Raw genomic sequence first — 14,542 nt, forward strand, 5'->3', positions numbered from 1 at the left:
GTGTGGAGACAAATTCACCCCCGACTGCATTTGCATATGTTGAGGTTAAGATGAACTTTCACTCTCTGGGCACAACACACAAGCAGGGAGCCCCAAAACTGAGTGAACAGTGGCAGGGGCAGCCAGGAACGAAGAAGCTGCTGTGAAGGCAACTCCTGAGTTTTCAGAAAGGGAGGCAGTCTAGCTCACAGGAGACCTCAGGGTCCTGGTCCCAGGACCTTGCCACATAGATCTCACGCACTCCCTACACAGCCCTTCCTGGGAGCAGTGTCACTGTGGGATGTGACAGAATCCCACCTCCTGCCCCTGCCTTCCAGTGTTCGGGATGAAAAGGCCACACAGCCTGGGATCAGGGAGGAAATATCTGCTCTGCAGACATGACTGTTTCACAGATGAGATAACAAGCCTGTGATGGCATCAAGGTTAATAGAGCCTCCTGCAAACTTGGAATCCAAACGGCTCTGGCAGCTGCATTAAAACCTGAACAGTTTTTCCTGGGGATTTTTCTGATTAATGCAAATTTGTTTTGCTTCGCAAATTGGAAATCAGTTGCAAGCACCTGGTGTAATAATTCCAAGAGGGAACTGAGAACCCTAAGGAGAAATCAGGTATTCTCACACCAACCAGCCCACGCCCAGACCTTGCCTGCCTTGTCCCACCTCTGGTACCTGGGCACCAGGTCACCACCTCGGTTCTCTGCTGCATTCTGCCCCCCACAACCCCCACTGCTCAGTAAACTATTCTCTATTGAGCACCACTGGCTGACTTTACCCAAGTGGTTTCCAGATGCTGGGACTCCCAGCCTCCCGCTTCCCCAGCCATGGAGGGTGGTAGGTACAATCAGGGAAGTCATTCAAGCCTTCTGTAAGAAGCCTGCCTTGGCATCTCCTGGGGGGACATCATTATCATCAGTGGCACTATCGAGTGGCACTGTTTCATCTTTCAGCAAAGGAACTGACAGAAAACCCGGAGATGCACCTCCTAATCGAAACTGTTCCTTTTTTAAGTTCTTGTCCCAACTACCCAGTTGCTTCTCACCTCTGAGTAAGCACCTTCTCCCATAGTACCAGAAAGTGGAGTGAACTACTGGGGGCTCCCAGAAAAAAGTGTGTGAAGAGGACGCTGCAGGGATCCCACGACTGCCTCTCCCATCCTGCTTGTGCCTTTCTACCTGTCAAAGCAGTGCTCCTGGAGCTGCAGAGCTGAGTGGACAGGAACACCCTTTGGCTGCCTGTCCCCTCCCCCAGCAGACGCACATTGTTCATTCAGCTCCAAGATAAGTTGGGAGGGATGGCAGTTATGAACGGGCCCCATCATGCTCCCCCTTCCTTTGCTACGCAATTTAAAGGCAGGAGACAGAGAAACGCTCTGGAAATCCAAATTAAAATGTATTCCTGCAGCAATCCTGCACCCAATTAAAGTAACCCAGGGCCCATTGTCCTTTGCTAAATTTAGAAAATGCTCAGGTGTGTCTGATCCTACTCTGCACAGATATTTTTAATACAGATTTAATCATATTTTGGGTTAGGAGAAGAAGCTAATTAGGTAGGCAGATTTAGAAGGGCTGCTGGAATGCGGGACAAAGCGAGGTGATTTGATGCAATTCACTGTTTTCGGTTTTTGTTTTTTTTTTTTCTAAGCAGTAAGTTGTGTTCAAAGTCACAGAAAATTGGCTTGAAAACTGAGGTGACAAGGAACAGGAGGGCATCCCTGTGTTAGTAGTTGATAAATCCTGGGGCTGGAGGGAACCCCAAAAGGGGGTCTCATATACTGCACAGAGTGCTGAACTCCAGCACACCCAAAGGCAGAGGGCCTTCGCCGTTTAATGTGACACCAGAACTGGCGTCTTCATCCGTGGCTGGGAAAGCATTCATTCAGGTTCTCTCTGCAGGAAGGCACAAGGTGTTCCTCAATGAATGCTGGTTGGATGGATAACTGAATCAGTGTCTGAGCAGTAGACCAAGAAGCCAGCCAGCCCCTGGACCTGGGTAAGGGGCTTCTGGTTCCTGTCCACCTGGCCCCAGGGCACTTGCCTGCCTCTGGTCCTTGATTCTTGGCTAGGTGCCACCCCCAACCCCCTTCTCAGTAACCATCTCCATAAAGCACCACTGGCTGCACCCAAGTGTAGAAAAAAAAAAAGGCATCTTGGCTTAACCCTGTGCTGAATCATCATGTAATTGAGTAAATGACTTAAAAGCCCCTCTGAGTCTCAGTTTCTCCTCCAGCAACATGGGGATTCTGGTTTCTATCTTCATTATAAGGATGGCAAAGATACAGTGAGACTTAACCGTGACATGCTGGAAATGCCAGGAAGGGAGGCCACTGGAGGGCACACACCCAGGTAGCTCAGTTCTGCAGGTGAAAAAGGTTGCGATGCTACAAGGTCATTCTGTTTTAAACCAAACTGTGTGCTGGGGAGAGGTGGGTTCTTTATCCAGCCCCATCCCACGACACCCCTGTCTTTGTGATGAAGGAAGCTGATCCACAGCACATCCAGCACATTGTCTGCTGAACAAGTTAGGTTACAAAGGAAAGCACAGAAGAGTGTCTACAGTATACTCTGCCTCGTATGAGAAGGAGAGGGATGTAAGAAAGCACACAGGCATCTTGCTCATCTGTGCAAAAGAATGGAGGAAAGATAAACCAGAAACTTAAGAGACTGGCTATCTACAAGAGGTAGGTGGGAAAGAGGTGAGAAGGAAGGAGGAATGGGAACTGGGAGAAGAGATGAGGAGGGTGGGACACTTCTGATAATACCTTCTTGTACTGTTTTGATTCTGAAAAGCTCAGTAACGTTTCACATGGCCTTCATACACCCAAAATAAACAAATGAAACCAACAGGATGTGGAAGGAGTCTCCCACCCACCCCCTAAAAAACCTGTAGAGTTCCCCCTGAGAGCAGACTCTGTCTTCCTCAAGGAAAAGGTCCCACAGAAAGGAGAGCCCATAGCTTTCCTAGTGTAGTCGCTGAAAGCAAAGATTCTAGAGCCTGGGTTCAAATCCTAGCATATCATTTACAGGCTGCGTGTGATTTTGAATAAGTTGCTTAACCTCTCTGGGTTTCCATTTCCTCATCTGTAAAATGGAGTAAGACGGTAACTACTTCACATAGCCATTATGGGGAGCTTGTAAGTCAGCACAAAACGAAGGCTTAGGGCAGCATCGGCATAGTGCTGCGTAAGTGCTTGCTAGCATGATTATCATTATTTTAGGGTTTGATGTTTTGGGCAGTTGCAGAGACTCATCTTCTGTGCCATGAGATAATAGCTCCCTTTTCCCACTAGGACATCCCTTAAGATTAGGAATGGGCCAGACTGACATGGAACTTTCCAGTGGCGGTCTCACCATGGTGGCAAATGCCCCTGCTCCGAGACTGTATTAGTTTCCCATTGCAGCTCTTACAAATGCAAACGTAGTGTCTTCAGCACCACCAACGTATACAGTTCTGGAGATAACAGGTCTGCAATGGGCCTCCCTGGGTTAGCCCTTGGCTTGTGGCCCCTCTCCTCCATCTTCAAAGCCAGCCGCAGCAGGCCGAGTCCTTCTCAGATTGCACCACTCTGACCTCTCCTCTTGCCTGCCTCTTCCACCTTAAAGACCCTTGTGATTACACTGGGCCCACCTGGATAACCCAGGAAACTCTCCCTTTCTTAAGGTCAGCTGACTAGCAACCTTAATACCACCTGCTGCCTTAATTACCCTATGTCAGAAAAGGTAACATATCCACGGGAGCAGGGGATGAGAGTTTGGGCACCACTGGGGGCTTTATCCTGCCTCCCACAAGGGCCAGCTCTTAACCAGCTCCACCCTCTTCACTTGTGCTAAGGGCTGGGTCTCTTGGGTTTTGTTGGTTTGTTTTTACCATTTTTTAAGCTTACAATGCAGTGGCATTAAGTGCATTCACACTGCAGTGCAGCCATCACCACTATCCATCTTCAGAACTTTTTCATCTTCCTCCACTGAAACTCTGTACCCATTAAACATTAACTCCCTATTCCTCTGCACTCAGCTCCTGGCAGCCACCATTCTACTTTCTGACTCTAAGAATCTGACTACTCTAGATACCTCATATAAATGGAATCATACAGTTTGTCTTTTTGTGACTTGTTTATTTCACCCAGCACTGTCCTCAAAGTTCACACATACTATAGCATGTTGGTTTCTTGTTTTGCAACAACTCCGTGCTACTGATTCTGCTCATCTACCCAAAAGCTGGCCCTGCAGGAAGTCCCCACTAGAAATTGCATTTTAGGCTAAAAGTTTGCCAACAGGTGGCCTGGAGATTTAAAAAGAACAGAGTGTGATCTGATATGGTGGTATGCATTGCTCTGGGGTCTCGGAGCACTGGGTTCCAGTCCAGACCCAGCCATCTATTAGCTGCTTGACTTTCATTCATCAGCAAACATTTATAGAGTACTGACATGGTTTGGCTGTGCCTCCACCCAAAATCTCATCTTAAATTGTAATCCCCATAATCCCCATGTGTCAAGGGTGGGACCAGGTGGAAGTAATCAGATTATGGGGGCGGTTTCCCCCATGCTGCTCTCGTGATAGTGAGTTCTCATGAGATCTGATGGTTTTGTAAGCATCTGGCATTTCCCCTATTGGCACTCATTCTCTTTCCTGCCACCCTGTCAAGAGGTGCCTTCTGCCATGACTGTAAGTTTCCTGAGGCCTCCCCAGTCATGTGGAACTGTGAGTCAATTAAGCCTCTTTTCTTTATAAATTACCCAGTCTCTGGTATTTCTTCATGGCAGCCTGAGGTTGGATTAATACAAGTACCAACAACTCACCAGTCACTGTGCGAGGCATATGAAGCACAGAAACTGCTTAGCACAGCCCCAGTCACTTAGTAAGTACTTTGTGAGTGTTAGCTTATAAAGGAGGTCAGGGGCAGAGTCCAGAGAAAAACTTACCCCTACCATTCCACATTGAGTGTCCTGTTAGGAGCCTCAGTCTGAATCCTGGCAGAAGAGCATTCACGAAATTATTGCAGCATCTCTTAAGATGTCAGGGGAGGCTGCTCTGGGGAGGGGCCTCTAAAGGGGCTCTAAATGGAGCTGGAGAGGCATCCAAGAAGCAGGACCAAATCAAGAGTGGCATGCATGTGGGAAAGCAGGCAGGGAGGCCAAGCTCCACCTTTCAAAGCTGATGGGTTTTCCTGATCCTCATCTTAAATCTCCTCCAGGAAGCTTTCCATAATTAAACCCACAGAATTCTAGTGACTTTCACTAGACATCTCCTCCACATTTCCCTACACTGTCTGTACTTAATCAATTTGCACTTGTTTATCAGTCATGGCACAAAAGCACTTCAGTAATCTGGATTAAAGTACTTGATCTGTCTACACTGCCCAAGACTTTAAAAACAATCCCAACCCTTCCCCAACCTAGATACCGTGCTATAGGCAGGAGGCACAGATCAAGCATCTGTTGACAGAAGCAAATTGAAGGAGAAAAAATGACAACTCCTGGACCCATCCCACTAGCTAAGTGCTTACTCTCTCCCTCCCAAAGGCCCTGGGGAAGGTGGTGCGGGGGCTCAGCAGGTCAGTTTGTGGCAGCCGAGCTTCTCCCCGTGTGGTTCTGGGTAGGTCACTCCAAGTCGCCAGGTTGCTGTCTCCTCACCTGTAAAAGTGGGAGGTGGGAGGCAGGGTTGGGGTGGAGGCTTCAGCTGAAAGGCCTGCCCAAGAGAGCAGACTCCCTCCCATCCTCCAGACACTCCAGACACCCCAGCCCCCAGCCCATTCCATCTCTGGCCTCATGACAAGACATCTGAGTCAAAGGCACAGACTCATCAGACGTGGGGCTCAGCCCAAGCAGTTTTCACATCTCTCAAAAACTCTTGCTTGCTAAGGAATCAGGGCAGCTGATGACCAATAGGATCAGAGAAACCAGAGCTAGGAGATGCTGGCCACAGCAAGCACCTCAGCCCCAGACATAGAAGGCCCAGGTGAAAGCGGTTGTCTAAATTAATCCACGGGGAATTTGTAAATTAATCCCAGACCAGCGCCCCGCCAGACTCGTGTATGTTCTGGAAAAGCCATTATCATTCTTAGAAAAAGGAGTGTAAATCTGCCACCAAGTAGGCATGTGAGTGTGTGCATGCATGTTTGGTATGTTTGTGCATGTGTGTGCGTACTCTGAATCTGGGTGTGGACAGTGCAGGCAGTGAAGCAAATAATGGGGCAGTTGCATGCACAGCTTCTGGAGTCTGGGTCTGTATCCTGGTTTGGTCATCTAGCAGTTCGGTGAATTTGGGCAAGTGCTATAAACTGCTTATACCTCAGTTTCCTCACCCATAAAATGGAGATACTAATAGTATCTAAGTCATGTGAGACTGCTGTGATTATTAAACAAGTTAATACAGATAGAGCACTTACATTAATGCCTGGCATGTGGTTGGCACTCAACAACTATTAGCTATTCTTCTGATTTATTTATCTAGATCAGTTGACTGATGGATGTCACCTTTGCTTCTTGACTCTAAACTGAGTAATCACTGGAGGTCACCAGACTTAAAGCCAAATCCATCTATCTATATGGCATACTTGAACATGGGGTATGTCCATAAACACAAGTCTTATGGTTTTCATTAGATTCTCAAATTCCCAAGGACGAACTTTATTGAAATATCATTCATAGAGTCACTGCCATTGGGAACCTTTTATATATTTAATAACCTTATAAAAAAGTCTTTTGTATACCTCATCAACCAAACCCTTTCAAACTGGTCCAGCCCAACCTACGTCATGCTCCCTGGCTTGATGGCAGGGAGCTTTCTGAATTGATTTTAGAGCCCACTCTCTTGGCTTGTGGATTATTTGTGCAACCACCTGCTTCCCTTACTCCCAGATAATTGACTTGCCTGTTTTTACTCATTTACATGGAGAGAGAGCTACATAAATAAAATCCTTTTAATTTCCTTATTTGATTATAATTGCCCAGAGAGGAAAAACATGTCCTTTTTCCCCTGGGAGATGCAAACCTTTAGTATTTTGGTGATACACTTGGCAATGATTAATAATGAAATATTAAATAATTAAAATGGCAACAATAATGATAATGATGGAGATGGTGACAGCCTCTATCTTTTGCTGAACACTCAAGTGTGCCAGGAACTGTACTAAGTCCTTCCCCGCATTAGCTCCTCTAATTTTGGCACCAGAACAGACCTGTCTCTCCTGCAAATTGAGGGGCAAACTTACCCTGTTCATGTTTGTGGAAGAGGGGCCGAGGGGCCAAGGGTCCTATAGCCCTGACTGCAGATCCAGAGAGTTCAAGAGCATCCTCCTGGAATCCCGACCTCATTCCAACTCATAGGGAGCACAGAACACCCCCAATCCACTTTTCAATTATACACACATACACACATGCCCCCTATGTAATCATCCCAACAAATGTGCTGAGGGAAAATAAACTCTGCAAGACTGGTTTATAAAAATAGCAAAACTCATAGCACAAACCTGCTCTGTATAATTCATGCAGAAAACATGGAAATATCCTGATAAATTGTGCTTTTTGTAGTTTCCATGAATTTGCTGATTACACACAGTCACATTGCATGCACAGACTGCCCCTGTATGTATTTCAATAATACTGCTTGTATTTCAGTAAAGAGATGGAGAGACCCCAAGTTTGAAGACTGGCTGTGTCCGTGGGGAGCTTGCAATCTACCACTGGTGAGGCTGGTCCCAGCTCAGACATTTTTAGCTTAATAATATTTACCAAGTCCCTGCAACGTGCCAGCATTGGTGAGCAGAGGGCTCCCCAGGGAGGAATAAGGGCCTAGTGGAGCAAGCAGACCCTAGAACAGATTAAAAATATGACAAAGTAGGTTTGATCACAGTGCAGAAACAGAGGACCAGGTGGGCTTCCTGCAAGAGGGTCTGAGTCTTAAAGGATAAAGGCACAGTGACCAGAGAGGAAGGCGAAAATGGCATTCTAGGTAGAGGGAACAGTAAGAGCAAAGGGTGCTGGGCACCAGGAAATGGAGGGTGGACAGGGTTGCTTGGTATCATCAAGGCATGCGGCGGGACAGGCAAGAGTTGAGGCTGGTGTGGGAAGCAGCAGTCAGAAAAGAAGAGAAGGCCCTGGCCACCCTGCCAAGATCTTGGCTTCACTGTGTGGGTGAGAGGCCACTGAAAGTCCTATCCTAACTACTCAGGGAAACGTCCCTGCTCCCTCTGTGAAGCACTCTCAGGCCTCCTTCCTTTCCACCACAGTGCTTCTAAATCCAATTGGAATTTTATCATTATCCAAGTGATTTGGGGGCACTGTCTCTCCATCTAGACACTGGGCTTTTCTGTTCACTGCATCTCCAGTGCCTAGCACATTTCTGGTACATATGAGCCACTCAATGTTTGTTGAATGAAATGGCTAATGAATGATCTTTGCAACTCATCATGAGATGGTTGGATGGGGGTGAGACTAGAGACTGGGAGGCCAGTTGCAAGGCTAGTGGAATAATTTTGCCTGATCAATGATAAGGGTCTCAGGAGAGAATGCATAAACATTTAAAAGGTACGAACAGTAGGCAGACATTGATGGATCTGGGTGTGGGGAGAGGGAGTTGTCTGGGTAAGTCCCAAGCTGGGCTGACATCCTAGAGAGGCAATGGGCCATTTCCTGAGATAAGGAACAAGGGAGAGGAGCAGGTTTTGGGGGAGGGTAGGAGAGGGAAAGCATGAGTCCATCATGGACTTGGTGAGCTGGAGTCTGAGTTCCCAGAGGTTCCAAGCATTCTCTTCCTGGAAACAGACACAGTGACCTCTCTGGCCACCCCAGGCAACCCCTCCACAGGCAGCATTAGGATTCATGCTGATCCTGCTGTAGACTGACCAGCCCCAGGCGCTTTTCCATTCCACCAGCCATGCCCCGAGTCATCAGACTCCCTGGGGGAAGGTGGGTGGAGGCCTGGCCCACAGAGCCTGCTGGTTGTAGCAGAGGACGAAAAGAATGTCTGCTGTAGAAATGAGATTCAAGCAGATGCCCCCGACAGGCCAGGGGACTGCTCCACACTGGGGCTCATGCCTTTCAGAACGCTTCTGGCTCATTGTAACAAGTCTATTACAGTGAGGTGTAAGACAGGCAGGCATAAAACAGTGTAGCCATCAGAGAGGGACGAGGCCAGGGCATAAAGTCCAGGAACTTCCTGGCCACTCAGTCTCCATTCCCAGGAATGGCCAAGGAAAAGGGGACAGGCCCTTAGCTGGAATTCATGGCCTAGAAATGGGTCTACCAGCCTCTCCATCCATTCCCTGGGTAGGCCTGAACACACATTCTGGGCTGGGGAGCCAAGATGGAGAGCTGGCCAGAGGCATAATCGCCCTGCTCCTCCACCCAGTCTGTTCTGCTCAGTTAGCTTTTCTAAAGTTACCACATTGATCATGCCACTCTCCCACTCAACCTTCAGTGACCCCTTGTTGCCTTTGGAAGGAAGGTGAAGTCTGAAGCCCAGCCTTCAAAGCCACCTCTAGTTTAACCTCAACCTGACTTCTCGACATTTCAGCTCACTTCTCCCCAGAAGGCTATTTCACTGCAGCCAAACAGGTATCCTCACTGACTTAAGCCCTCATAAAAACAGAATCATTGACTGTTAGTGATGGAAGAAACCCTGGAAATCATCAAACCCAGCCTTCCATTTTACAGACAGTGACATCCAGGACCAGGGAGGGGAAGTGACCTGCCTCTGGCCGAGGTCTGAGCTGAGTCTAGAGTATGTTGGTTTGTTCATTTGCCCATTCATTCTCATATTCAACCTGCATTGAGTGTCCATTTCCTGCCAGACACTATTGTAGTTCATGTATGAACATGAAACCTACCCTTAGTCATTTATTTAACAAATGTTTACTAAGCACCTTCTATGTGCCAGGCTAGAGTCAGAATGTAATAGGAAATAAAGCAGTGAAGTCCCTGCTTTCTTGGAGAGCTGGGGAGCTAGATCACCAATAAGAAAAACTATGTCAGATGGTGATAACTGCTATGAAGAACAACACGGGGGAAGGGGATAGAGACAGCGGCAGTGGGGATGCAAATTTTATCTAGGGTGTGAAAGGAATGCCTCTTCCATCAGTGGACATTGAATGGAAACTTGAAAGAAGTAAGGTTATCTGAGGAAGAGGGTCCAGGGAGAGGAAGCAGCAACTGCAAAGGCCCTGAGGCAGGAACGTGCTTGGCTAAAGAGAAGAACAGCAGGGAGGCCGCCAGGACTGCACAGAGCAAGAGAGAGAGTAATGTCAATAATCCCAGAGAGGGAGCAGGGATGTGCCAGCCACAGCAAGGACTCTGGCTTTTACTCAAAGTGAAAGGAGGCATCACTGGGTCCTGAGCAGAGGAGGGAGCCAAGCTAAGACCTCACACAAAGGAAGGAAGGGCTAAACAGGGAACCCCTGCAGCTCCAATGCTGTACTTATACCCCAACTGCCTAGGTCATTCCTAATCATTCTTTAGATTCTGGCTGCTCAATGTGTGGTTCCCAGACCAGCAGAACTGGCATCACCAGGAAACTTATTAGAAGAATCACAGGCCTCACTCAGACCGTCTGAATCTGAATCTGCACTTAGCAAGATCCTCAGAAGGTCTGTGGTAGACGCATTAACATTTGAGAAGCTCTGTCCTGGATCTCAGGCCAAACACGACTTCCTCAAGGCATCCTCCAAACCCTCAGGCCCCACAAGGTGATTTATTTATTTTTAATTTTTTTTAGTATACTTTAAGTTTTGGGATACACGTGCAGAACGTGCAGGTCTGTTACATAGGTATACACATGTCATGGTGGTTTGCTGCACCCATCAACCTGTCATCTATATTAGGTATTTCTCCTAATGCTAGCCCTTCTGTAGTTCCCCACCCCCCAACAGGCCCGGGTGTGTGATGTTCCCCTTCCTGTGCCCATATGTTCTCATTGTTCAACTCCCACTTATGAGTGAGAACATTCTGTGTTTGGTTTTCTGTTCCCGTGTTTGCTGAGAATGATGGTTTCCAGCTTCATCCATGTCCCTGCAAAGGACATGAACTCATCCTTTTTTATGGCTGCATAGTATTCCATGGTGTATATGTGCCACATTTTCTTTATCCAGTCTATCATTGATGGGCATTTGGGTTGGTGCCAAGTGTTTGCTATTGTGAATAGTGTCACAATAAACATACGTGTGCATGTGTTTTGATAGTAAAATGATTTCTAATCCTTTGGGTATATACCCAGTAATGGGATTGCTGGGTCAAATGGTATTTCTGGTTCTAGATCCTTGAGGAATCGCCACACTGTCTTCCACAATGGTTGAACTAATTTAATTTACACTCCCACCAACAGTGTAAAAGCATTCCTATTTCTCCACATCCTCTCCAGCATCTGTTGTTTCCTGACTTTTTAATGATCGCCATTCTAACTGGCATGAGATGGTATCTCATTGTGGTTTTGGTTTGCATTTCTCTAATGCCCAGTGATGATGAACTTTCTTTCATATGTTTGTTGGCCGAATAAATATCTTCTTTTGAGAAGTGTCTCTTTATATCCTTCGCCTACTTTTTGATGGTTTTTTTTTTTTTTTTTTTTTTTGTAAGTTCCTTGTAGATTCTGGATATTAGCCCTTTGTCAGACGGACAGATTGCAAAATTTTCTCCCATTCTGTAGGTTGCCTATTCTTTCTGATGATAGTTTTTTTTTTGCTGTGCGGAAGCTCTTTAGTTTAATTAGATCCCATTTGTCAATTCTGGCTTTTGTTGCCATTGTTTTTGGTGTTTTGGTCATGGAGTCCTTGCCCATGCCTATGTCCTGAATGGTATTGCCTAGGTTTTCTTCTCGGGTTTTTATGCTTTTAGGTCTTACGTTCAAGTCTTTAATCCATCTTGAGTTAATTTTTGTATAAGGTGTAAGGAAGGGGTCCGGTTTCAGTTTTCTGCATATGGCTAGCCTGTTTTCCCAACACCATTTATTAAAGAGGGAATTCTTTCCCCATTGCTTGTTTTTGTCAGGTTTGTCAAAGATCAGATAGTTGTAGATGTGTGGCATTCTCTCTGAGGCCTCTGCTCTGTTCCATTGGTCTATGTATCTGCTTTGGTACCAGTACCATGCTGCTTTGCTTACTGTAGCCTCCCACAAGGTGATTTATTGTCTCAACGCAGTTTTGAATCCTCTTTCATACCATTTACCACATTGTCATGCAATCGTTCTCCAACTTGCTGCACATGATAATCATCTGGGGAGAAGTAAAAAGTGCCAACGGTCCACTGCACCCCTCACCGATGACATCAGAGCCTCTGGTGTGGAGACCCAGGCATTCACATTTTTTAATCTCTCCCCCTCCACCTTCCACCCCACATACACACCCTGGTGTTTCCAATGTACAACCAAAGTTTTGAACACTTGTGGTAACTGAATCCTTCATGGTTCTCTCCTTTGTGTAAGTATCATGAGAGCAGGGACTGTGTTTGCCTTGTTTACTGCTGTTCTTTGCTCCCAAAACAGAGCCTGGCACAAAGTAGATGTTCAATAAATACTTCTCAAAGGAAAGCAGCGGGGCAGGAGGGGAAGAAGAAAGGAAGACTGTCCTGCTCTGACAAACTTACCTCAGATGAGTGGCAGCTGCTGCTATGTCAGGGTTAAAAATCAGAGCAGGGCCTCTGCAGAGCTGGTAACCAACTTCACAGAAAAAAAAAACCAGACACATTTTCTACTTCTCACTGCTAGGCACCCAGAAAAGCCAACATTGTGGAAGGGTGTCGGCTCTGTGTCTCTTTGTGAGGAGGTAATCTGGTGCCTTCTGCTGGTGGGACCCCCTTGCAGGCCCCCTCCTACCTCCCCACCTGCCCCAGTCTCTCTGCAAGCAGCAGGGCTGAACAGGTCTTCAGGGATATATAATCTGGGAGAGCCCAAACCCTCCGTCCAGCTCCCCAGAGCTGGGGGGCTTAGCTCCATATCTACTGGGGTTTTTATCACAGAAATAAATCAGGGCCTTGTTTTACCCTCGAGTACACATTACTTTTCCTCTCTCACTAAAGCAAACTTCTCTCCCATCCCTTCTGGAGAGGTTCATTTAATAATGTGTGAAATGAAATGTCAACAAGAATTAGAACAAATGGCATGGTAATCCCCAGCAGATGACAGGCAGCCAGAGGCAGGGCTGCTCCTACAGTCCCAAGCAGGGAGCCAACGAGGGGGACCCCGCAGCCCTGACCCTGGGAAGGGGAACCTCTAGGCATACTGTCTCCCCGCTTGCAACTGAAATATGGTCTTTGAATTTCTGACAGAAGAACAGAAACTGCCTTTGACATAGGAAACAGCTTTTCTTTGACATACAATTAGCAAGGACAAGTGTTCCCTAGGGCGGGGCGCAAGAGGCCCCATCAGTCAGCCCATCAGAGGCCATGTGGATTGGGGGTCAGGGAATCAGAGCCTTGAGCTGCTGCCAATAATCATCCGATCACCTTGCCTTGCACGGGGCTGCTGCTTTTCACAGGCTCCTGCAATCTATCAGCTTATCCTGCTCCAGGGACTTGGAGTATAAGAGAAAAATACCTCTGCCCTTTTGCCCACCTGAACCCTGGTGGGCACAAGCCACGTCCACATAATTCAATAATGGAAATAGCACATGTTCATTGGGCATGTACTACGAGCCAGGTCCTGTACTAAAAATTGTATGTGCATTATTCCTTTTAATCTGCTCATCTATTCATTCAAACACATACTTATGGAGTATCTGCAATATACCAGGCACAGTTCTAGGCACAGTAGTGAATAGCCACAATCCCCCGTCCCTGTGGGGCTTGCACTTTTGTGTGGCGGGGGAGCAAGACAGATGGTAAAACAAATAGGAAAAACATCTAGTAGAGAATCAAATGGGGTGGCTGACTGGGGCGCTGTGCCATAGTTCCTGCCCATGTCACTGAGTGCAGGGGTGGTGGGATGCCCGAGTCCATGCCAGGCAGGCACCTCAAGGTTGCTCTGCTTTGCTGAGCCAAGGGAACAGCCAGTGGGGACAAAAGTCAAATGTTCCAGGCACTGTCCCCACAGTTCCTACAGGTCTCTGAGGCCTGTGGGCCAAGCCCCTCCTGCCCTCCGGATAACCAACTCACTACACCCATCGCTGGCTTCTCCACCTTCCTGTCTCATGCCTGCCACCTGGGATTGCCGCCCCAAGTCTTGGTCCTGGCTCTGTTTTCAGGGGAACCCAAACCAAGACACAGGGTGAGATGTGTTAGGGAGAAAATAAAGCAGGAAAGGGGGTGGAGCTTCCATTTTAAGTCAGGAAGGAACTATAGCATTTCCATTTTCCAGAGGAGGAAATGAGGCTCTGGCTCCATTTAAATGGCTTTCTCAAGGTCAGCTAGGAAGTGCAGAACTTGGACTTCCCGGCCTTCTTTCTGACACAAAAGTGGAAATGTTCTTAAGCACCATACACCTGGCCTCTCTCCTGGATGAAGAACCGAAGCTAAAACCCATGAATGCTGTGCTGGAGGGAATGCGGAGAAGACAGGAGGAGGCACTCATGGGGACAACTTCTAGCAGAGGTGAGCTGCGAGCAGGAAAGGGCAAACTGTC

At 47.4% G+C, this 14,542-nt stretch overlaps 1 protein-coding gene across 9 annotated transcripts in view, besides 1 other annotated feature; it reads right to left on the reverse strand.

Annotated features, from left to right (window-relative positions):
- KCND3 (potassium voltage-gated channel subfamily D member 3) overlaps nucleotides 1-14,542 on the reverse strand; it is a 219,007-nt gene that overhangs the window by 157,875 nt on the left and 46,590 nt on the right. The window contains exon 3 of one of the 9 annotated variants that reach the window (XM_011541428.3): nucleotides 4,094-5,628. The exons of the other annotated variants lie outside the window; for them this stretch is intronic. Within the exon in view, the coding sequence (XP_011539730.1) occupies nucleotides 5,625-5,628 (4 nt within the window). The 3' untranslated portion in view covers nucleotides 4,094-5,624. Of the gene's footprint in view, nucleotides 1-4,093; nucleotides 5,629-14,542 lie in introns of those variants that run through there. 9 annotated transcript variants of the gene reach the window in all.
- Nucleotides 8,911-9,411: an enhancer, noted in NCBI's record as "H3K4me1 hESC enhancer chr1:112480069-112480569 (GRCh37/hg19 assembly coordinates)". NCBI's record gives its function as "activates a minimal SCP1, AML or CMV promoter by ChIP-STARR-seq in primed H9 embryonic stem cells {active_cell/tissue: H9 hESC(primed)}" and the evidence as "EXISTENCE:reporter gene assay evidence [ECO:0000049][PMID:30033119]".

This window comes from Homo sapiens, chromosome 1 (genome assembly GCF_000001405.40).
Source record: "Homo sapiens chromosome 1, GRCh38.p14 Primary Assembly".
Taxonomy (NCBI): Eukaryota; Metazoa; Chordata; class Mammalia; order Primates; family Hominidae; genus Homo; species Homo sapiens.